Source organism: Homo sapiens, chromosome 8 (genome assembly GCF_000001405.40).
Source record: "Homo sapiens chromosome 8, GRCh38.p14 Primary Assembly".
NCBI lineage: Eukaryota > Metazoa > Chordata > Mammalia > Primates > Hominidae > Homo > Homo sapiens.
Window position 1 is genome coordinate 22543832 of NC_000008.11, and position 21698 is coordinate 22565529.

The 21698-nt window shown below is 54.4% G+C and overlaps 1 protein-coding gene and 1 long non-coding RNA gene across 10 annotated transcripts in view, besides 14 other annotated features; one reads left to right on the plus strand and one right to left on the minus strand.

The window, feature by feature from the left end:
• Positions 1-10294, minus strand: part of LOC124901905 (uncharacterized) — a 72590-nt gene extending 62296 nt beyond the window's left edge. The window contains exon 1 of the long non-coding RNA XR_007060851.1: positions 8331-10294. This is a non-coding gene — a long non-coding RNA (uncharacterized LOC124901905). The remainder of the gene's footprint in view (positions 1-8330) is intronic.
• SORBS3 (sorbin and SH3 domain containing 3) overlaps positions 1142-21698 on the plus strand; it is a 30816-nt gene continuing 10259 nt past the window's right edge. The window contains exons 1-14 of one of the 9 annotated variants that reach the window (XM_047421216.1): positions 1142-1298; positions 3883-4028; positions 4479-4552; positions 6075-6227; positions 10621-10777; positions 11032-11149; positions 12884-13077; positions 14298-14361; positions 17504-17542; positions 18034-18100; positions 20156-20246; positions 20452-20538; positions 20637-20690; positions 21437-21523. In XM_047421216.1, coding sequence (XP_047277172.1) covers positions 6121-6227; positions 10621-10777; positions 11032-11149; positions 12884-13077; positions 14298-14361; positions 17504-17542; positions 18034-18100; positions 20156-20246; positions 20452-20538; positions 20637-20690; positions 21437-21523 — 1065 coding nt within the window. In that variant the 5' untranslated portion in view covers positions 1142-1298; positions 3883-4028; positions 4479-4552; positions 6075-6120. Of the gene's footprint in view, positions 1299-3882; positions 4553-6074; positions 6228-8095; positions 8192-10620; positions 10778-11031; positions 11150-12883; positions 13078-14297; positions 14362-17503; positions 17543-18033; positions 18101-20155; positions 20247-20451; positions 20539-20636; positions 20691-20977; positions 21043-21175; positions 21243-21436; positions 21524-21698 lie in introns of those variants that run through there. The other 8 variants (XM_047421214.1, XM_047421215.1, XM_047421213.1 and 5 more) reach the window with 8 other exon arrangements.
• Positions 5235-5735: an enhancer, noted in NCBI's record as "H3K4me1 hESC enhancer chr8:22406579-22407079 (GRCh37/hg19 assembly coordinates)". NCBI's record gives its function as "activates a minimal SCP1, AML or CMV promoter by ChIP-STARR-seq in primed H9 embryonic stem cells {active_cell/tissue: H9 hESC(primed)}" and the evidence as "EXISTENCE:reporter gene assay evidence [ECO:0000049][PMID:30033119]".
• Positions 7061-8025: an enhancer, noted in NCBI's record as "H3K27ac-H3K4me1 hESC enhancer chr8:22408405-22409369 (GRCh37/hg19 assembly coordinates)". NCBI's record gives its function as "activates a minimal SCP1, AML or CMV promoter by ChIP-STARR-seq in naive H9 embryonic stem cells {active_cell/tissue: H9 hESC(naive)}" and the evidence as "EXISTENCE:reporter gene assay evidence [ECO:0000049][PMID:30033119]".
• Positions 7061-8033: a biological region, named in NCBI's record as "H3K27ac-H3K4me1 hESC enhancer GRCh37_chr8:22408405-22409369".
• Positions 7414-7543: a silencer, noted in NCBI's record as "silent region_18987". NCBI's record gives its function as "represses an Ori minimal core promoter by ATAC-STARR-seq in GM12878 lymphoblastoid cells {active_cell/tissue: GM12878}" and the evidence as "EXISTENCE:reporter gene assay evidence [ECO:0000049][PMID:35858748]".
• Positions 7854-8033: a silencer, noted in NCBI's record as "silent region_18988". NCBI's record gives its function as "represses an Ori minimal core promoter by ATAC-STARR-seq in GM12878 lymphoblastoid cells {active_cell/tissue: GM12878}" and the evidence as "EXISTENCE:reporter gene assay evidence [ECO:0000049][PMID:35858748]".
• Positions 8184-8263: a silencer, noted in NCBI's record as "silent region_18989". NCBI's record gives its function as "represses an Ori minimal core promoter by ATAC-STARR-seq in GM12878 lymphoblastoid cells {active_cell/tissue: GM12878}" and the evidence as "EXISTENCE:reporter gene assay evidence [ECO:0000049][PMID:35858748]".
• Positions 8249-9126: an enhancer, noted in NCBI's record as "H3K4me1 hESC enhancer chr8:22409593-22410470 (GRCh37/hg19 assembly coordinates)". NCBI's record gives its function as "activates a minimal SCP1, AML or CMV promoter by ChIP-STARR-seq in naive H9 embryonic stem cells {active_cell/tissue: H9 hESC(naive)}" and the evidence as "EXISTENCE:reporter gene assay evidence [ECO:0000049][PMID:30033119]".
• Positions 8934-8983: an enhancer, noted in NCBI's record as "active region_27080". NCBI's record gives its function as "activates an Ori minimal core promoter by ATAC-STARR-seq in GM12878 lymphoblastoid cells {active_cell/tissue: GM12878}" and the evidence as "EXISTENCE:reporter gene assay evidence [ECO:0000049][PMID:35858748]".
• Positions 9127-10002: an enhancer, noted in NCBI's record as "H3K27ac-H3K4me1 hESC enhancer chr8:22410471-22411346 (GRCh37/hg19 assembly coordinates)". NCBI's record gives its function as "activates a minimal SCP1, AML or CMV promoter by ChIP-STARR-seq in naive H9 embryonic stem cells {active_cell/tissue: H9 hESC(naive)}" and the evidence as "EXISTENCE:reporter gene assay evidence [ECO:0000049][PMID:30033119]".
• Positions 10116-10195: an enhancer, noted in NCBI's record as "active region_27081". NCBI's record gives its function as "activates an Ori minimal core promoter by ATAC-STARR-seq in GM12878 lymphoblastoid cells {active_cell/tissue: GM12878}" and the evidence as "EXISTENCE:reporter gene assay evidence [ECO:0000049][PMID:35858748]".
• Positions 12570-13092: an enhancer, noted in NCBI's record as "H3K4me1 hESC enhancer chr8:22413914-22414436 (GRCh37/hg19 assembly coordinates)". NCBI's record gives its function as "activates a minimal SCP1, AML or CMV promoter by ChIP-STARR-seq in primed H9 embryonic stem cells {active_cell/tissue: H9 hESC(primed)}" and the evidence as "EXISTENCE:reporter gene assay evidence [ECO:0000049][PMID:30033119]".
• Positions 18065-18254: a silencer, noted in NCBI's record as "silent region_18990". NCBI's record gives its function as "represses an Ori minimal core promoter by ATAC-STARR-seq in GM12878 lymphoblastoid cells {active_cell/tissue: GM12878}" and the evidence as "EXISTENCE:reporter gene assay evidence [ECO:0000049][PMID:35858748]".
• Positions 18405-18699: a silencer, noted in NCBI's record as "tiled region #12029; HepG2 Repressive DNase unmatched - State 14:Gen5', and K562 Repressive DNase matched - State 4:PromP". NCBI's record gives its function as "represses a minimal TATA promoter and a strong SV40 promoter by Sharpr-MPRA in HepG2 and K562 cells {active_cell/tissue: HepG2 | K562}" and the evidence as "EXISTENCE:reporter gene assay evidence [ECO:0000049][PMID:27701403]".
• Positions 20005-20898: an enhancer, noted in NCBI's record as "H3K4me1 hESC enhancer chr8:22421349-22422242 (GRCh37/hg19 assembly coordinates)". NCBI's record gives its function as "activates a minimal SCP1, AML or CMV promoter by ChIP-STARR-seq in naive H9 embryonic stem cells {active_cell/tissue: H9 hESC(naive)}" and the evidence as "EXISTENCE:reporter gene assay evidence [ECO:0000049][PMID:30033119]".

Below are 21698 nucleotides of genomic sequence, written 5' to 3' on the forward strand. Positions count from 1 at the left end.
GCCTAGGAGTAAAAGACTCAGCCTCTCCAGGAACATCAGTATTTTTTATGTCTTTCATTGCCTTTTTTGGTTCTTCCATGAACAATTCAATGAAGCAAGTTTCTCTCAATAGCAAAGATTTGCCTTCTTAAGATTAGCTTTCTTTGCCATCCTGATAACTTAGGGATGATTTCCTGACATTGTTCAAAATAGGAACAGAGAAACCCTTATTTGTTTTGTCAATAGACTATTATTGAATGTCATTAAGGAGCAAGGGAAGATTTTTAAAAATTGGATAATTTCGGGGCCTTTTTTGCCTTTTGGCATTGTCCCTTAGATCCTCTTCCCTCTGAGTGCTTTAAAAACACACGGTTTGAGGCACAGCTGATCTCTATAGGAAAAATATTATAAGCCATGCCTGCATGAGACACAGCTGGACTTGCTGTTCATGGTCATTATTCAGGAGTCTCTCCAGCCTCAGAATGAGTAAAGCTAAAATCTGCTCCCTCTACCCTGCCCTATTTTATGTAAATATGGTAGCTGATCTCCAAAATTTTCAACTGTACCATATCTATAAAGTTTAACCTTTTAAGAATTTTCATCCAAGCTGGGCGCGGTGGCTCGCACCTGTAATCCCAGCACTTTGGGAGGCTGAGGCCGGTGGATCACAACGTCAGGAGATCGAGACCATCCTGGCCAACATGGTGAAAGCCCATCTCTACTAAAAATAACAAAAATTAGCTGGGTGTGGTGGCACATGCGTGTAATCCCAGCTACTGGGGAGGCTGAGGCAGGAGAATTGCTTGAACCAGGGAGTTGGAGGTTGCAGTGAGCCGAGATTGCGCCACTGCAGTCCGCAGTCCGGCCTGGGCGACAGAGCGAGACTCCGTCTCAAAAAAAAAAAAAAAAAAAAAAAAGAATTTTCATCCTGACCAATCTGGGTGACCAATCAATTAAATTGGTTTAGGAAGAGCTTGCCCTAGATTGGTTGATTTCATAATTTTTCTTTTTATTAATTATTGGGTTTTTCTCTCTGATCTCTGCATTGAAAATTATTTCCTAAGCCATAAAGACTTGTTGAGGTACCATTCTAGAATCCCCAATATTTATTCTAGTTGTTATAGTAACAGTGGAACCCAAGTTTCTCCTAAAGCATTACCCAGCTTTCCTTGCCCAGGCAGAAAAGATGGCAGAGGGAGGGTGAACCCAGGGCCCATCTGTGGGTATGGGCTCCAATTTCCTAAATTGTTTGTGGTTATAACCATGGCTTCCACCTTGTCTGGCACCGGGTCCACATCTTTTCTGAGACCTGCTAGAAGGTGAGTAAAGGACAGCCTAGGAAGGCCCAGCAGTGGATTGAGGAGGGTCGGGTTACCTGGAGGACGGGTCCCAAAACTGGCTTGCCACAGTCCCTTTCAGTATTGCTGTGATGAGACGCCTGGAGGAAAGCTGTCAGAGCAGATGTGTGTAGAGGAAGAAAGTTGTGTAGTCGAAGGACAGTGTTGTTTACTCTTATCTTGAGTGTGAGTAGAGAACTGTATTAACAATAGGGCTTTGTGCCATTGACAGAGTGTGAAAGAGGGAGCCTATATTACATTGGGGTTTGGGACCTGACCTGCCTATATCTAGCCAGCGAGAGTGAATGGGGTCAGTGTTAGCTGCCTTCATCTATGCAGTCACAAAGGTAAAGATGATACTGGAGAGTATATTCCCTCCCGGGAGGCCTTGGCCTCACGCCCCTGCCACCTTGGCAAGACCTGCTAAATAACACCTTTGTCTGAGACAGGGTTATGCATCATCTCCTCTTCTATGCCCTCATGGCAAGTCTAGGTGGCTTAAGATTAAGAAGTGAGGACATGGAGGCGGACTGTCCCTCTGAGCAGCTCTGAAGTAGGGCCAAGCACACTGCCTTCCAGTAAGTTCTTGCCCACATTCCTTCACTCCCTTGACGTAGATGTCTCCAAATACTCTTAACATGAAATGCATGTAATGAGGAGCAGGCCTGTCATAGATCTTGATTTGGGGCAATAAAGATGTGTTTTTGTCACAGAACTTTTTGAGGATGACACTGTAAATCCCTAACTTTTATTTTCTCAGTGCATGGTGACCCCCATAGCTGTTTTTCCCAATAGTTCTGTCAGCAGGCATTTTCCAAGAAGGGGCCCCAGTATTCCTTCCTAAATGGTGAGGTGGTCAAGACGTCAGACCAGTTGGTGGTGTGATATTTTTTCAAGGTTCTGAATGATGGATTATTTGCTTGTGCTTAGAGATTGCCTACTTTTTCTTGCTTTCAGTTATGTTAAAGAAGGCGAGGGAAATGTTACTTATTGGCCGAAATCATCTAATGTCTTTTTTGTGAACAAGAAATTAATTTGTTAGGACTTTTGTACTATAAATTAGAGGTAATCTTAAGATTTAAAAAAAGAAGAAAACACCCTTAAATGATAACTTTATTGGCTCCCTGTGTCTTTATTTCCTGTATTTCCTGGTGGAGGTACTTATATTTGGCTTTTACTCATTTAATAATTCCAGACCCCAGGAGAAAGCCTGGCTTTTGATGTCTGGTCTGGTCTCTGATGATAACAAGGAATTCCCCTCCCAAGGGAGGGAATCCCATCACAATAAAAAGGACCTCTCTCTTTCGTCTCTCCAGCCCTTTCATTTTAAAGCAGCTATGGTTGGCCACAACGTGTTTCTGTTTCTCCCAACTCAGAATCCACTCCCCAACCCTGGCCTCCTTCTTACCCAAGTCCCAGCCCCCTCTGCAGCTTCTCCAATAGAGGCCACTACTTGAAGAAAAGGAAGAAAGACATCCCAGAAAACATACATTGTTTACCAAGGATAAAAATAGTTTTGTACTCTTGTAATTTAATGACTGTGCATGTGATCCTAATAATAGACATGGTGAATTCCATCTTGGAGAAGCCAAGGCAGCCAAAGAGGATTTGAATGTGGAGTTGGCCTACCAAGAACGGGAAGTGTCAGACTAGCCTTTTCATGCCTCTGAAAAGTAGAAATATCATGAGGTGCTGTGGATTCACAAGGAAAAACAAGCTCCCCTGGGCAAGTGGGGAATTGGGGATAGGGAAAGAGCCAGGGCCCTGGAGAGGAAAGTGTGTCAGTGAGGGGACTCTACAGGTTATGGCAGTAGAGGTAGAAAAGCTAAATCCAGCACTGCCAGGTCCAAGTGAGGTGACTTTTACACTAAATACAACCACATTAAGGGCCACAGTGCAGTTTACAGGCCAGAAAACGGGCCCAGGTTTCTAATTTCCAATAAGCTGAGTAGCATTGGGTTCTTTGTTATCCCAGTGGCATCCTGATGTAGCAATGTCCCTACACCTTAGCTAAACCTTCAGTAAAATTAGGTAAGATTTGCCCATATTTCTGGAATTGTGGAAAGATTTTTAATAGCCTGGAAATGAAGGACTTCAATGCAAATTCATATTAACCTGTTGCTCCATCTAGATCTGTTCCTCACTTTGTTGCCTGCTGCATGTAATTGCATGGTCTTGCCTTTTTTTTTTTTATCACAACTTTCAGGCTTTAGAAAGAAAATGTAATTTTGATACAGTAGATGAATAATTTAATGGTAAATGAAGCAGACTTTTTAATGTTGATGCTATTAAGGCGAAGGTTCATCATAGAATTCAAGGAGGTGGGAAGACAAGGTTCTTCTTTGTTTGGAGGCCAGAGCCGTACTTTATGGTATCCACTGGGCCAACAGATCAGCCCTCTTATCCTACCCATCGCAGTCTACCTGAGCTGGGAAAGAAGGCTGATGCAGACCTAATTTCCCAGCTCCTGGGTCTGTGCCCTCCTTTGTGGCTGAGTTGACTTGGCTTGGTTTTCCCTCTGAGGTCATCACTTACTTATCCTTCCCTTATAAAATCTACTTTCTAGAGCTGACAGCCACTTGTTTGTTTCATCTTTCCTGAGAACTAAGAGAGGTTCACCCAGCTCAGTTCTTCTCAAAGACACCCCGTCTGTGCATTGTGCTTGTTTGCTCATCCATGAAAAGAGGAAGAGAGAACAGCCGTGGATGTGATGTCAGTATCAAAACTTCCTTGAGGACAGGCGGGATAAATTGGGCAAACGGCTGAGTTCTCCCGCAGCCTTTGGGAGATTGGCCCTGAGAACCCAGAATAGATGCCCATTATACATCATGCGTGTGCTATGGAAAGGTCTGTGCCAGGCAAGCCTGAGAGCCTAATTCGCTATTCCTATGGGGTTCCATGCACCCATCCTGGCTGTCAGGCCCCAATACCCATCATACTTGACCTGTACTGGGTATTTTTTCACTCAGATCCCTCACTCTACAGTGACTCTACCAGAAATCTTGAATTCCAGATGAGCCACGTCATGCCATTGTCAGCATAGGAGGCCCTTTGAAGCCCCAAAATGGGTCATTTGCACTCCCTTCTTCTGCCTGCTCCTGTTCCCATGAGTGGTTGGCATGGAAAGGGCCATCAGTAGAACTTGGCTGGCAACATTTGCAGGAGCAGGAATCAACAGAGGACCCAGGAGAAAGGGATGGAGCCCAGGGCATGAAACATAGTCCAGATTCCTGCTGGTATGTCCATGTGACTTGGTTTCAATTCCTCACCATTGTGTCACTGTGGCCTTCTAGAGAAGTCCAAACTGCTGGAAACGGGCAGTGCTTTCTGCGCTAACCCCTTCTGGTCTGACTGCTCAGCTTAGAGGAAGGAAGAAAACACTCAGAATTCTGAGAGCAAAACCCCCCAAAAAATCTACTCAAAGCACCTGAAGTTCATCCCTGGGGAGGAGAAGAAAGGAAGAGCAGATGCCCTGTATCTCCATGGGGGTACTGAGGCACAGAGCTAGGGCCGCCTAGCTGCCCAGGGTAGATCTCAGAGGGTGACTCATCTGAATTGCCGATTCCCAGCACCAGAGCAAGGCGCTCCTCAAGAACTGAGTCCGGGTTCATGTCTTCTGGGACCCCTGGCTTCCCTTTTCCCACTTGAGAACTAAAACTGGGTGCTCTGCCCACCCCGCTCACCCCGCCTTCACTTCAGTGCTCTTTCCCCTCATTTGTCATCCTTGGTGACAGAGATTGCTTTTCAGAGTGACCCGCATTCCACCGCCTTCTCCCCCTCCCTGTGAAGAGCCACATTTACTGGTAGTCCCGTGGCTAATCCTCCCCTGCAGGGGGGTGGGGGTTGTGGACAGACCCCTGTTGACGGTGATGTTGGGGACTACCCACAGAACAAAAGGTGCAGCCTCAAGGGCTTGAGCGGGGAATACTGATGCCTGGGATCAGGTAGCTGGGAAAACAGGGCAGTTATGTAACTGTGTTTACTGTGGCTCAGGTGGCTCTGAGAAGGCAGAGGCAGCCCCTGACAAAGGGCAGTGCCAGAGGTGGGGAAGCCGCGACTTGCAGGGAGGGAGGCCCCTCTTAGACAGGGGAGTCGTGCATGCAAAGGAGAGAGTGCAGTGGGATTTGGAAAGGAAAGGAATCTGTTCTGTTGTTGACAGCCAGCCGGCCAGCCGCCTTATCTAGGACAATCTTCCCAGCCTCAGCCTCTCCCTAACCGTGCCAGCTGTGGAGGCAGCAAGGGGAGCTGACGCTAGAGGGAGGCGTCGGGAAATCAGACACCTGGTTCCTGGCTCAATCTCCAAACCCTGCTACTTTTCCCCCCTTAATCTACTTTTCAAAGAGAAGGAATTCTTCTCTTTAGATAAGGGCAGAAAGGGAGGAATCAGTCAAATTTCCTTATGTTTTCCCTGCCCTGTGGCCCACTGTCTCCCATCCTCTCGGCTGTGAGGCCAGATGGGCACCACGGAACATGGTGGATTCTGACCTGAGAGAGGTGATAAACCCGGCAGAGCCCAGGCCTAAGTAGACAGGCAGAAGTCAAAGCGGCTCAGGAAGAAAGCTCAGGTCTCCCGTAGACCTACCCCGCCTCCTCCTGCAAAGCTGTTTACTCAACGCCCGATTCCCATAGAGATGAAACTGGTAGCCAGTCCCCAGCTCCTTACCCATGGCTGCCACCTCCCTTTGTGAGAAACAGGAAGTGGGGAACTTTGTCAGCTCTGCTGCACCCTCTACACTAAATATTTATCTTGGAGTCCAGGTCAGAGCCCTAGAGAATAAGAGAAGCTTGCTGCTGGTGAGGGGGTATGGCCAGGATTCCTGGAGTCGGAAGAGCTTCAGCTTCACCATCTTGGGAGAAGAAGGAAGAAAGTGAAAGCGATGTGGTCCTTCTTAGTCCCAAGGACCCTGACAGGTGGGAAAAATGCGTGTCTAAGAAAATGGGCACCTATTTTATCCCTGAGGGAGGGAAGAGGCTACCTGGCGTGGATAAGAAGGTTTCTAAGCTTCAGGTTGGGGGGCAGTGCACTGCTGCGTCCCTCAAGAAGTGTCCCAGGGTTCCCCCACTGCTCAGCTGTCCTCCACAGCAATGCCCCTGCCATCCCCATCTCTCCGCCTTCCTGGAGAGTCAGAGGTTCTTGGAAGGAGTCTTCAAGGTCATCTTGTTCAGCTCCCCGCTCAGTGCAACAGTTGCCTTTACATAGATGCCCCACAACTGGCAGACTCAGAACCCCTGGAATCATGTAAAAATTTGTCCTGGGAAGCCTTGGACCTGCTTCCCTATGACGTGTCCCCCAGTGGTCCCACTGCTGCTGGTGCAGCTGTGTGTCCACATGGCAGCCCCGCAGGCGCTAGAGGCCAGCAGGCCTATCTGAAGCTTCTCAACCCAAACATCTCCTCCAGCTTTCACATGTGATGTTTCAAGGCAACGGGGAGAGCTTCTTTACCAGAACGAGGGAGAAGATAAGACTAAAGCAGTAATGGTGGTAGGGACTGAAAATCACTTAGTCTTTTCTCTACTCTCTTTCTTTCCAAACTTTGAGTTGAGTGGTGAGCTTGGAAAACACTCCAAAACTCCTCGTGGCCTCTGGCACCAGTCTGACACCCAGTAGGAATGCAGGAGATTACGTTAGTTTTCATAATTTAGCATTGATCACTCCCAGCTCGTAGCTAAAGTTGATCAGTAACTGTTGGTTGGTTGGCTGGTTTGGGGCTTGGGGATCCCTGAGCCAACTCAAGGGCCAGAAAGGATTCCAGAGTGTTTCCACGGTCCTTCAATGTTCCTTAAGCATTCCCACTTTCTGAAGTGCCATACAGAGGCTTGGGGCAGAGACAGGGAGAGGGGATGACCAGAATGGATGGGGAGCCGGAAGGGCCGGGGCTCTGGGGACCCAGCTCAGAGCAGCGAGAACAGCGGAAAAGCAGGCAGATCAAAACAAACACAGTGTCTGGGAACACCAAGACCCTCCTAATCCCATCCCCGCCAAAGGGACCCCACCCTTATCCTCTTTAGGGGCGCGGCACGCCCGGGGGGGCCGCTCCCTTGGGCTGATTTCCTCCCTGTGCTTGCACGTGTGTGAGCGTCCCCACGTTTGCAGTGTACGCGCGCGTGTTTGTTTGCACACGACCGGCCGCGCGCCGCCGCAGGCACACCCTCTCCCCCAGCGCGGAGGGGCGGCGGGGCCTTCCCCTGGTCCGCTCCGCCACTCTGCCTGCGGGGCGCCCTCATCTCGCTCCCGGCCTGTCCGTCTCTCCCGGCTTGCCCAGTTCACCACTCCTGCCCCCTTGTCCTGGCTCCGCCCGGTTCATCGCTCCTGCCCCTGTCCTGGCTCCGCTGCGAGGCCGCTCGCTTCCCACACTCTGGAAATGTCGCTGGAAACTCTGAGTGGCCCGTGTCGGGCCGCCCGACCCCTCCCCGACGCCAGCCCTGCGGTAGGGGCCGGGATGGCAGCTGGGAAACCAGAGAGGGCTCCCCGGGGACCCTCGGCGGCCCCTCCCGGCGCCGCCTCCCCGCCGGCCAGGCCTCCTCGGCAGGGGGCCACCAGTGTCCCCGCGCGCGCCCCGACGGACGGAGAGCACTCGCACGTCCCTCCTCTCCGGCCCAGCCCCGGCCCGCAGTCCAGATCCGAGACCCAAACTCCGCCCGCCCCGCCGCGCGACTCTCACGGTCCGGCCTCCGGCGCGCGCCCCTTCGGCCTCCCTCTTCCTGCGCCGGCGCCCGGCCCGGCCCGGCCCGTCCTGACCCGGTCACGAGGGCCGCGACGGCCCGCGCTTCTCCTTGCCCTTCCTCCTCGAGCGCCCGCGCCAGGCAGCAGCCGGGCAGGGATGCTCCTGCGCTCCCGGGCGGCCTCGGGCCCAGCCACCTGCTCGCCGGGGAAGGTAGGTCCGGGCAAGGAGGGGCGGGGAGTAGGCGAGGCCGGCGGGAGGGATCCGTGCCCAACCCCAGGGAATCGCACCTAGCCCCTCCCCGGGGTCCGCGTCCCAAACTCTGGGAAGTACCTCCCACCAGCCCTCATACCAGAAAAAGCGAAATTCAAGAAAAGCTGTCCTTGTCCACGTGGCCTTGTCGCTGAGAAATACCTGGGAAAGCTCTTAGGGCCAGGCACCCAAGGTCAGGGCAGTGTTCAGAGCAGGGAGGCCAGTGCCCACCCCAGCAGAGCCGCCTCCCCTCTCCCGCTCCAGGGGCCTCTCCCCGCTCCCGGGGCTGGCTGCCTGCCTGGAGGGGAGGTCTGAATTCTGGGAGGACCCCTCCGCTCTCTGCTACATGGGGGACCAGTCCCCAGATGCTGCCCTCTTCCTTGTAAGTCCTCCCTAAGTCTCCTGACCTGGCTGCCAAGAGAAGGACTCGGACCACCCTTCCCTGGAGGTTCCTGTGGTGGGGGGCGACACAAGGGGCAGGGTTGAGAAGGGGCAGATGGGGGCACCAAGGGTAAGCAACCTCTGACTACGGGTCGTGGGGGACCTCCTGCCCTACCCATCCTCCAAGAGAGCAGTTCTCACCGAGCACGAGGTGGGCGGGGAGGTCAGGGAAGGAAGGCGCTGTCAGCTGATGGCCCAGGCGGCAGCTGCTGAGCTGCAATTTGGCCCGAAGCAGTCAGCTGGGCAGGGAGGGGTGCTGCGAGGAGCCGACCAGCTCCAGGTCTCCTGACCTTCCACCCCACCCTGCCTCAACTCCCCCCCGCAAGGGGAGGTGGAGTGTGGGGACTGGGGTGTGTCTGCCTGTTTTGCTTTGGTGGGAGTCCTAATTGGACCCAGCTGGGGAGCTGCTCCTCCTCCAGCCTCAGCCCTCCACTCCCCCCAGTCAGGCATGGGCACAGAAGAGCTGTGTCGCAGCAACTCAAATGTCAGGAGTCCCCACAAACTCAAACCAGAGACAAGGAGCTGCCCCCAGCCTTGGCTACACCCTCGCTAGCCCTGGGCAGGAGCTGGGTCCAGGGGCTGAGTCATCCCAGCCTTATTCTACCTTCATCCCCTCTGGGCCCCCAACTCTTCCACTGCTCACATGACTGCACCTCCCACCACTGTTCAGCTGACACCCCTCTGTACCCACAACCCCCATGCAGCTCATGTGGTCCCTCCGGTGGTCCCCCCAGAAGTCATATTCGCAGCTCTGCACCCAGATTCCAACACACACATACACACAGCTCCTCCCGATGCATTTGCAGCCCTCCCTGAGAGCCCCCAAGGACCCCACAGGCACAGGCAAACCTGATTCCATCCAGTCCTGGGCAGTGGCAGAGCTTGGCTGTTTCTGGTCCAGTCCAGCAGCCAAGACGCGGAGGGATGGACGCCGTAGCACCGTGCTCTGGGTCAAAAAGCCCCCTTGGACACCCCAAACTGGGAGCCCCTTTTTGTCCTCTTGCACCCCCACTCTGGGCTCCCCTCTTGCCCCTCCATTCCCTGGGTGCCTAGGGCTCCCTTCCCCTTCCCCAGCCTTGGGATGAGGCAGAAGAAGCTGGCTGTGGGCAGGCATGGTGCTGCCAGGGAAGACCCTGCACTCACAAAACAGCCTGGAGGGGCGGGAGAAAGTGGAGCCAGGGAGCGCGTGTATGTGCGTGCACATTTGCCCACATGCAGAACACCCCAGGGCACTCAGCACCAACTCTCCATGGGCATGAGCAGGTTCAGCTCTGCCCTCACCCACCGCTTCTGTCTCCACCCACCCGGAGCCCTCTGAGTCCTCATTCTGTGAAGGAGGCCAAAGAAGGGCCCGATGCTCCCTGTGAGCTCGCAAGAGTGGGTCTTGCTGCCTGGAAATGCCCCCGACGCTCCCCTTGGCCCTATTGGGCTTAAGGCCCTGCTGACTGCTTCCTGGAGGGCAGTGGGCGGGTGGCTGAGTAATCCCTTGTGCCCGCAGGCAAGAGATGCCCACACGGCCTGGGGGAGGCAGAGGGAACTGAAACAAAGTCCTGTGTTCCCAGGCCCCCTCTCTGCCGGCTGCCCCACTTCCCCTGCGCCTTCCCTCCGGGGGAGTGGGGAAGCCAGCTGCACCCGTGCAGGGAGAGCCCCACGGGCTCCTGGCCAGCCCCTCCCCTCCTCCTCACCCAAGCTCCCCCTCCCCCACTCCCACCCGGAGCTCCTGCCCTGGGCCTAACAAGTGGTCCATTGTGCCCCTGGGAGCCGGCAGGCACGGGCAGCCTGCAGGCGGGTGCCTGGCGTGGCCTGTTTCCTGGGTCCTTGAGCTAGTACCCAGCTGGTCCTGACCCCCTCCCACAGCCGGCCCCTCCTCCCCTATCCCAGGGTCGAGCCAAGAGGGCATGGGCAGCCTAGCCTAGCAGGGCTTTCCCTTCCTTCCTCCTTCCCCACAGAGGACACGCAGAGGAGCAGCTGGCTTGCCCGGAGTCCTCCCACCTTGACCCAAGCATGCAGGGCCCACCCCGCAGCCTCCGCGCTGGGCTCAGCCTGGACGACTTCATCCCTGGCCACCTCCAGTCCCACATAGGGTCTTCCTCCCGGGGGACACGGGTGAGTGAGTCAGTAGGGAGGAGGGTGTCCTGCGGGCCCGGAGTTGGTTGGGACGCTAGCAGGTCAGGTGGGGGCAGGAGGATGAAAGGGATGGAGGGAGGGCTGAAGAGAGCTCTGGGGGGCCTCGCTGGTTTCCCACAAAATCGTCAGGCGGGCCTGGGACTGTCACCGAGGGGTGTGGGCTGTGCCTAGTAGCCATCCCTCCCTCCCGCCCTGCTGGGCCCTGAGCTGCCGCTCCTGGCCCCTCCCCGCAGGTGCCCGTGATCCGGAATGGTGGCTCCAACACCCTTAATTTCCAGTTCCACGACCCCGCGCCCAGGACTGTGTGCAATGGGGGCTACACACCAAGACGAGATGCTTCCCAGCACCCGGGTAGGTCTGCTCAGGAGCCTCATGCTGGAGATGGAGGGTCAGGGCCCTGCCATCTGGCACTGCCCTGTGTCAAGCGGGAGGGGCAGCAGCTGGAGATGGGGTTCTCAAGGCCATGAGGAGGTTCCTCAGAGGCCTCTGGGCTCACTATGAGCCCCTCCCTGCGGAGCCTGCTGACTCTGCAAGAGACACCCGCTTGGGGAGAGCAGGCTGATGCATCCCTTCCCCTGCCCTCCAGCCTGGTGCCAGGGAAAGGAAGCGTGCAGGAGCCCTGGGCGCCGGAGGACCTCCCACAGGGACTGGGGATGGAAGGGTGGAGGTGATGTGGGTATCTGTTGGCTTGGGAAGGGGTGGAGACTGTCCCATTCAGGCCCAACAGGCTACCCAGCAGGAGGTTAGAGAGGCAGTTCTAGATCCCAGTCCAGAGGTCCTGGGAACTCCTGGGTGCAGGCCAGCCCTGAACATGTCTCTCCTAAAGTGACATCCTTTATCAAGCATTCCCCTAAGACAGGTGCTGTGTAAAGGAATTTATTCATTTAACAATTATCCAGCCTGGGCAACATAGCAAGACCCTGTCTCTATCAGCCTGGATGACACAGCAAGACCCTGTCACTTAAAACACACACACACTGAGAGGCTGAGGTGTGTGGATGACCTGAGGTCAGGAGTTCGAGACCAGCCTGGCCAACATGGTGAAACCCCATCTCTAATAAAAATACAAAAATTTGCTGGGTGTGGTGGCGGGTGCCTGAAATCCCAGCTACTTGGGAGGTTGAGGCAGGAGAATCACTTGAACCTGGGAGGTGGAGGTTGCAGTGAGCTGAGATCGTGCCACTGCACTCCAGCCTGGGCAACAAGAGCAAAACTGTCTCAAAACAAAAACAAAAACAAAACAAAACCAAAAAAAACACCCACACAATTATGGAACACCCAGAGCGTGCTGGACACTGTAAAAACACTTTACGAGGCTCACCTCGTTTAACCCCTCGATATCCTGACAAAGTAGGGGTGATGATGACTGACAGCTTCCCAGTAAGGAACCCCATTCGCAGAGATGTTCAGCCATAGAGGCTGAGCTGCAATTCACACACTTGTACATCTGGCCTCAAAGCCCTTATTCTGCTGCCCTAGCTACTTAGAGGCTAACACTTATGGGTAAGTTGAGGACTCAGTCACAACCATGTCTGGGGAATGGGTTTCTGACCTTCACTGAGAGCCTCTCGACTGTGTGCCAGGCACTGTGCTGGGTACAGTCACACACGCTAGATGTCACTGAATCCTTGTCACAATGACCCTTGTTTTACAGAAGTGGAAACTGAGACACTGAGAAGGTGACTGATGTACCCCAGGCCATGGCAGCCAATAGGTGGTAGAGCTGGGGTCTGAATTCAAGTCTGTCCCCTCTAAGCCCAGCATCTTTACTGCCACACCCCAGCTGGGATGTCCCCTGCATTCTCTACAAGTAATGATTTCCAGACCTTATTCTGAAAGCACTTAGGATAGTCCCAGGAAAGAAGGATGGGGGTAGGGCCAGGCACGGCATTCTCAAGATCAAATCCATTTAAATTCACTTAAACAAACAGAGGCCCGTGGTGCTCTGAGTCATCCACTCAAACAAACAAGGCGATGTTGAAACTTTGAACCCACAGAGATCCATGCTCTGAGGAGCTAAGGGACACACAGGTTCAGGTGGAGACCCCTGCCTTTCACTAATGCTCTCCTGCACGCACCCAACAGACCCTGCGTGGTATCAGACCTGGCCAGGCCCTGGGAGCAAGCCCTCTGCAAGCACAAAGATCCCTGCCTCCCAGCACACCCAGAACTGGTCAGCCACGTGGACCAAGGACAGCAAGCGTCGGGACAAGCGCTGGGTCAAGTACGAGGGAATCGGGCCCGTGGACGAGAGCGGCATGCCCATTGCCCCCCGATCCGTGAGTCCAGGGCTGGGGGCCACGGAGAGATGGGGCCCAGGGATCTACAGGGAGCTGCACTTCTGTGCATTAAAATGGGGGTGGGGCAATAAAGGCCGCACCCAAACCATCCCAGATTAAGCAGGGGTTCAACCGTGGTGGGGTTCAGCGGCTGTAAACCTCATAAAGCTGCAGACACCCTCGTGTGCCTGAGTTGCTCAAGTGGTTTGTGCGGGGTACAGATCTAGAACTCTCATCAGGGCCTCAAAGGTAGAGAACCCCTGCTGTAAGGCCTGAGGCTGCAGGGGACCCTCTCTTAGTTTCATATCCCCAGGGCCTGTCACGACGCTCATGAAATGGTTGCTGAATGAATGACTGACCGGCCGAATGAGTGAGTGAGTCTTGTGTGAGAAGGTCTCTCACTGTGGCAAGCGTGGAAGGATCCGGGGGTCCAGTTAGGACTGGGGATACCCTGCCCTTTTCCATCCACCTTTGTGTCTTGAGCCAGCTCCATTTTCTCATCTGGAAATTGGAGCTGGTAACATTCCCTTCCTGTTTTGAGGCTGTTTTGAGGCTTGGATGAAGCAGGTGATGTGAAACACGCATCTCACTCCTACATTATTGCTGTCATTTTTGGCCCAGGTGCAGTGACTCACGCCTGTAATCCCAGCACTTTGGGAGGTCAAGGCGGGAGGATTGCTTGAAACCAAGAGTTCCAGACCAGCCTGGGCAACATAGTGAGACCCTGTCTCTATAAAAAAAAAAATAAAATAAAATTAGCTAGGCAAGGTGGTGCACGACTGTAGTTCCAGCTACTCAGGAGGCTGAGGCAGGATGATTGCTTGAGCCCAGGAATTGGAGGCTGCAGTGAGCTATGATCATGCCACTGCACTCCAGCCTGTGTGACACAGGAGACCCTGTCTCCCCACAAAAGAAAAATGTTCTTTGTAGAAACACTAGACATAAAGAAAAGCAAAGAGAAAAAATGTAAATTGCCCCAAATCTCATAACATCATTATTGCATACACTTCGATGGAGATCTTGTCATATATCTTACTTATATAGGACGTGTTACATGAAGCTATTGTTATTAAAGAGATCGCAAGAGAAGCATTTCCCAGCCCACCTATGGGGGGTTCAGGGATGGCCAGAGAAGGGACTCACTAGGGAAAGATTTTTGTGGCTTGAAATTGGGAGGGTGAATAAGCAGGGAGGACTGACTTTGCATTTTCTGATCCCAGAGCGTTGACAGACCCAGAGACTGGTACCGGAGAATGTTCCAGCAGATTCACCGGAAAATGCCAGGTAAGATACCCTTCCAGGGCCCTCTCCCTGCCAAAGTGGATTCTGGCCCCTGGGGCTTGGAGAGACAGGGAAAGAAAAGGGGACTTAGCTGCTCAAGGGGTTCTTCTCCACCTTCTCCCAGGCTCTAATGAGTAGTCCTGAAAATAGGCAGTCCCCTCCCTGTACTCGGGGCCAGCAGCGGTCTCCAGAGCATCCCCAAGAAGAACATTGACCAGCCACTGTCCCACAGTGTCCTCTGAGGGGACTGAGAAGCCATTCCTTTCCTTAAGTCCCTCTCTGATTTCCCTGCCAAGCTGGAATGCCACTGTTAGCGGTCATTCCCTTACTGGAGGCATTGCTTTCTTCCACAACTCAAAATGCAGCCAACCCTGGGGGTGCCTATGAGCTGGCTCCGAGGTCACCCATCCATTCAGTGAGTCCTTGACCATCTATTGAGCATGTACCACATGCTGAGCACTATTCTAGGTGCCAAAGATCAAAGGAAGTCACACAATAAACAGACACACCTTTGACATGACAGATGGTGGAAAGGGCTAGGGAAAAATAAAGCCAGACTGGGAGAGTGCCCCATGCAGGGAGGCTGCTCCTTCACCCAGGAGCGGCCAGGAAGGTCATTTGTAAGCGGTGTTTGATCAGACCATGGAGGGAGTGAAGGAGTCGGCCTGGCAGAGCTGGGGGAAGCATTCCAGCAAAGGGAGCTCCGAAGACCCAGAGGTAGAAGCATGTTCTGGACGGGCAAGGAGAGCCTGGCCTGGAGCGAGGAGCATGTGGTGGGAGATGGAGTCAGAGAGGTGGTGGTGTCAGGGTACGTGGGGCCTTGTGGGCCATTATAAGGACTTCAGCTTTTACGGTGCAAATAAGGAGGAGCCACTGAGCGGAAGAGTGCCATGCTCTGACAAGTAATGGCTGAAAAGATTGTGCCTGGCTGTGGGGTGGGAAAGGAATGGTGGAACCAGTTCCCTTGCCTGGTAAGGGCTAGGGAGAAAAGGCCACCTTTACAACTTTGCTTCAATCCAGGGGAGAGATAATCGTGTGTTAGACCAGGGCGGTAGCAGTGGCCCTGGTGGGACAGGATGAGACTCTGAATACACTGCAGTCACTGGAATTTGCTGATGGATTGGACGTGGCTTGGAAGAGAGAGTCAAGGATGGTTTTAAACCTCAGCAAGTTGAAGATTGGAGTTGCCATTTGTCAAAACAGAAAAGACTGTAGGAGTAGCATTCACAGGCCGGGCGCGGTGGCTCACGCCTGTAATCCTAGCACTTTGGGAGGCCAAGGTGGGTGGATTGCCTGAGCTTAGGAGTTCGAGACCAGCCTGGGCAACATGGTGAAACCCCATCTCTACTAAAAAATACAAAAAAGTAGCTGGATGTGGCGGCATGCACCTGTAATCCCAGCTACTCGAGAAGCTGAGGCAGGAGAATTGCTTGAACCTGGGAGGCGGAGGTTGCAGTGAGCTGAGACCATTCCACTGCACTCCAGCCTGGGCAATAGAGCAAGACGCTGTCTCTAAAAAAAAAAAGAAAAAAAGAAAAGAGGTGTTCAGTTTTAGACACATGTTCCCTCTGAGTGAAGAGGTTGAGTAAGCAGATGAATATCCAAGTCTGCAGTTCACGGGACAAGGTCTAAAACTGCAGATGGAAATACCTGGGACTCATTCAAAAGAGATTTTGGGACCAGCCTGGCCAACATGGCGAAACCCTGTCTCTATCAAATATACCAAAATTAGTTGGGCATGGTGGTGTGCACCTGTAATCCTAGCTACTCCAGAGGCTGAGGCAGGAGAATTGCTTGAACCTGAGAGGCAGAGGTTGCAGTGAGCTGAGATCACCCCACTGCACTCCAGCCTGGGTGACTCAGTCTCAAAAAAAAAAAAAAAAGAAGAGAGAGATTTTGATTTAAAGTTTCCCCAGTAATTCTAGTGGGGAAACTTTAAACTTTTAACTAGCAGCCAAGATTGTGAAACATGGGAATAGATGGCGTTTTAAAAGCCTTAAGACTAGCTGGGTGTGGTGGCACACACCTGCAGTCTCAGCTATTTGGCAGGCTGAGGAGTTCAATTCAATTCCTGGGAGCCCAGGAATTCAAGTCCAGCTTGGGCAACATAGCATGATCCCGTCTCTGAAAAACAACAATCCATAAGACTAGACAAGATCACCTAGGGAGATAGAGAGACAAACAGACCCCAGGACTGAGCCCCCACGCACCTGGATGCTTAGAAGTTTGAGAGATGAGGCGGAACCAAAAAGGCAACTGAGAAGGTAGAGCCAGGGAGGTAGGAGGAAAACGGAGAGATCTCCCTGGGGCCAAGTGGAAAGGGAATTCCAAAAGAAAAATGTGACCAGTGGTGACAAATGCAGCTGATGGGTTGAGTAAGATGAATACTTAGAATTGACTGTCAGATTTGGCAACGTGGAGGTCACCAGCATCCTTGATAAGAGTGAGTGGTTGGGCAGTGGTGAGCAAAAGCCTGTTTAGGGAGACGGGGAGTAGGGGGATTGGAGATGGTGTGGTCTTTATGGTCACTGGTTACAGTTTACTATGGGGGAAAGCAGACAAATCCAGGAGTCAGAGGAGGGTGTGGGGTCCAGTGAGGGGTGATGTGGCTGGCGTTTAGGCAGGTGCCGTTGCAGCGCATGCGTGTGTGTGTGTGTGTGTGTGTGTGTGTGTGTGTGTGTGTGCGCGCGCGCACGCGCCGTGGGGAGCAGTGGGTCAGTAGCTCTTTCCAGGAAGCCCCAGAAATTCCCAGGCACCTTGAGGAGCTAGGAGTGGGTCTTGGCAAATGGGGAAGGAAAGCGTTTGGAAGAGGGTGCAAGTCGAGTTTCCCCAGCCTGAGTGGTGAGGGCAAGTCCACAAAGGTCAGGAGAGGGTGTGTGTGGGAACAGGGAGGGAGGAGCAGGAGGGCTTGGGCAAGGCGGCTGCCCGCTTGGCTCGCTTAGGCCCCAAGCCTGCCAGAGGCATTTCAAGCCCTCCAGAGAGCTGCCCTCCTAATTCCTTCCCTCCCTTGGGACATTCTTCAGGCCCTGACTCAGCCCTCAGCCCCCTACTCTAGGGATGTTGGGAGCGGCTGAGGTTGCCTCCCAGGGCACCCTGCCCTTGCTTTCTGCCCCGTCCCATGACCTGGTCCCTTCTGCTCCTGCAGACTTGCAGCTGGACTGGACCTTCGAGGAGCCACCCAGAGGTGAGGGGATGCGGGCCCACCTGCCTGCCATAGCCCTGCGCCTGCGTCCGCCCCTCCCTGGGGCTGGGACTCGCAGCCCCGCCTGGCTTTGGGGCTCTCCAGTTGGCTCAGTTCAACCTGAGAGGTTTTTATAGCTCATTTCCAGAGCACTTCAAATCCCCCGGTAGGTGGTAATTAACAGCCTCAGCTTGCACGGGGAACGCGCGCTCTGCCACTCCCTGGCCGGGATTTCTCTGGGCCTCCCTTTCCTCATCTATAAGATGAGATCATCACCTACTCGGAGTTGTTTTGAAGATGTAGTAAATGTCGTAAAGCTCTGAGGGCAATGCCCGCGTTCAGTGTCCCTGAGCACCAACCACCCTGCCCCCACCATCCACCCAGGAGCAAGGGGGTGGTGCTGAAACTCTAAATAATCACCCAGGCACCCTCAGCCCCAGTCACGGCCTGTCTCCTCCCACCTTCAATGCTTTCCTCGTGTACCTCCTCTGCAGACCCCAGGCATCTAGGAGCCCAGCAAAGACCTGCCCACAGGCCCGGCCCGGCAACATCTTCCAGTGGGTGAGCACAGTGGGGCGGGGCCGAGGGCTGCGGAGGGGCGCGGCCCGCGAGACACCATGGGACGGGCGCCCCCTCGTGACCACAGCCGGCACAGCCTCGGAGCCCAGCCAGGAGTGGGGTCTCACTTCCGTGTCCGTCTGGGCTCTGTCCCATCTCTGGGTCTCCACCACCCCCATAGACTCTCTTCCCTACAGGGTCAAGGGGGGAAGGGTAGGCAAGAGTGGACCTGGCACCCGCTCCTGGCCAGGAACGCCTGTGATGCGTTTGTGGTCAGCAGCAGGAACTCTTTGCCCCAAAGATCCCACCGGTCTTATGAGACCGGGAGTGGGGCGGCCAGGACAGCCGTGGACAGAACTGTTGAGGGGAACTTGGACCTGGCGCTGTCCACTTTGAAACCTGAGAGAAAACAAGGGATATGGAAGAACCCAAGTTCCAGCCTGATAGCACAGAGAGAGGAGCCCCTTGGAGGGATAAGGATGACATTCCTTTCCTCTGTGCAAACCACAGGCTCCGCCCGGCTGCTGGGGCCCTGGCGGGGTCAGCACCACCGTGGGAATCAGGATCTTTGCTCTCAGAGTTAAATCCTTGAGTTTCTTATTCCCTTGCAGGGAAGGACTCGTCTCATTAGCATGGCTGAAACTGGCCCGTAGCTCTGGGCATCACCGATAAGGTTCAGAGGCAAAGGGCTCAAGATTTGGACGCTGAGTTCTGGGTTTAAGCCTGTGCACTGCCACTAGCCATGTGACTGTGGGTACCTCACTCAGTCTGAGCCTCTGTGTCCCCATCTTTTAAGTGGTAATGCCCAGAGGGTTCAGTGTGATCATGTGTGTATCATGCATCATGTTTTGCACATAGCAAGCCTGCACAAACATTAGTAATATACAGGCTTAATTATGATTACAAGGCTGGGTGTGGTGGCTCACGCCTGTAATCCCAGCACTTTTGGAGGCTGAGGCGGGCGGATCACGAGGTCAGGAGATCGAGACCATCCTGGCTAACATGGTGAAACCCCGTCTCTACTAAAAACAATACAAAAAATTAGCCGGGCGCGGTGGCGGGTGCCTGTAGTCCCATCTACTCGGGAGGCTGAGGTAGGAGAATGGCATGAACCCAGGAGGCGGAGCTTGCAGTGAGCCGGGATTGCGCCACTGCACTCCAGCCTGGGCGACAGAGCGAGACTCCGTATCAAAAAAAAAAAAAATTATGATTACTGCTTCCTTAGGTTAGGAATGACATTCTCACAGTCACTTTTATTATTACCAAAATCAGAATGGAGTCATTATTACAGCCAACAAATCCCAACCCTTGGTCAGACGTTGTATTATTTGATAAGCCTGATGCAGTGGTTCCTCTCAGTGGAAACTTTCAAACAGAGGCTGGAACATTCCATGTAAGCCAGCCAGCAAGGGGCCCTGGAGGGGAGCTAAGGCAGATGTGTCCATGCTGTACTGCAGTGGCTGGGGTGGTCTCACAGACAGAGTCACTGAATCCAGCACCCTCATGGAACTAGGCCCAGGGAGCAGAAATAACTTGGCCAGAGCTGCAGGGCAGAGCTGCCTCTGGCTTTCCTTGCCCATGGGTGTACGATCACTCAGCCACAGCACCCAGAAAGACCAGCTTCTTCAAAGCTGCACAGACGCACATAGCCACAGTCATGGGGCCAGACCAAACACACATACAGGACACTTTAGCAAAAAGGCCCACAGGAGAGGGTCGGGCCACACCTGGAGCAAATATGTGTGTGAGGCCTTCTCCCGGGCACCTCATATATGTTCTCTCACCAAATCATTTCTATATTACAGGTTCTGAGCCTGAGGCTCTGAGGGATCAGTAACTTGTTCAAAGGTTACACATCCACTAAACAGTAGAGCTGGAATTTAAGCTTGGAGCTCACACACTTCCACAGTTTAATCTTGCTTCCAGAGTAACGGCAGGGCAGTCAGAGGCAGAGTAGACCCCACAGCAGGGACAAGGGCAGGGTGAGAGGGCTGTGTGCTGGCTTCTGCCTCAGTCTCCCTAAAAGGAAGCTGAAGAGATGTCCTTCCCTTTCTTTAGAAGAAGCTGGGACCACTCTGAAGAGTTACCTAGAAGCACCTTCAACTACAGACCTGGAGCATTCTCCACTGTGCTGCAGCCCTCAAATCAGGTAGCCCACCCAGCATAGTCCCTGGTCAGCCCCAGCTGTATGCCGTATGGCCAAGACCCTATGCCACGATGTCCTTTCAGCTTGAATCCCTTGGAGGACACCGTGGGCCCAGGGGAAGGGCAGGGGCCTGCAAGCCTGCATTTTGAGCCTGGCCAGTGTCCCAGTAGCCCTCTTCACAAGCTGACACCCACCCACCTCCACGCAGGTGCTCAGACGCCGGGAAAAAGTAGACAATGTCTGGACGGAAGAGTCCTGGAACCAGTTTCTGCAGGAACTAGAGACTGGGCAGAGGGTGAGTGCTGGCTGGCTCTCGGGGTGTGCACGCACCCTCAGCTGATACATTTTGGAAAGTGAGTTCACCTGCTCTGACACACCCTTTCTACCCTTCAGCCCAAGAAACCGCTGGTGGACGACCCTGGTGAGAAGCCCTCCCAGCCCATTGAGGTGAGTGCTGCAGGGTGCTGGGGACAGCAGCCTGATAAACCAGGGAGATTAGGGTTTTGGTGGCCCCAGTAACCATGGGCATAGGCCACGAACTAAGAGCTCTCTCTCCAGTCCCACATGGTTTATTTCTGTAATGCCAGCACTCAGGACAGTGGCTGGCATACAGGAGGCGCTCAGTAAACATGTGTTAAATAAATATGTGTTGGCCAAAGCAGGAGCAGAAAAGGGAGTGGTCAGTGCGCACTGGGATTATCAGGAAATATTCTTGGAGGTGGAGCTGGACCCTTGAGAAGCTCCGAGGGCCTGATTCGGCGAAGACCCATAGCAGAGGCTGGCAGGAAGCAGCGTGGGGGTGGGGGCTCCGGTCCCTGGGGTGGCGGGGGAACCTGGATGGGCACAGTGAAGCCAGGCCTTGGAGGGCGGGAGAAGATGGGAGAGGAAATGGGGAACCCCATTGGTGCTGTAACAGAGACACAACTTGGCAGAAACTGGCAGGACTGCGGAATCGCGGGATCAGGAAGCGCGTAGGCACTCCCGGGGCGTGCTGGGCAGGTGAGAGGCCGTGGCGGGGATGCCCTCTTGGCACCCTGGGCCACACCTCCTGGCAGGAGCCCGGCCCGTGCGCTGAGGCCTGCCCTTACGCCGGCCCGGTGCGCTGGCCTTGCTTTTCACAGTCGATCTTTGACCGCTGCCTCCCACCCCCACGGTGCGCTGCCCCTCACTGCCCAGCCTCTCCCCGCCCCCAGGTGCTGCTGGAGAGAGAGCTGGCCGAGCTGAGCGCCGAGCTGGACAAGGACCTGCGGGCAATTGAGACCCGACTGCCGTCCCCCAAGGTACCAGCCCCCAGGGTTCACCCGCGGGGCACGCCGGCGACCGCAGGGTCGGGGCGAGCCGGGAGCCTCGGCGGCTGGGCTGGGCGGAGGACGGGCAGCCGAGGTCCGGCCTCCAGCGGCGCGCACCGGCCTCGGGCCCTCCTGGGCGCTGGCGGGCTCGCTCCTCCATAAATAA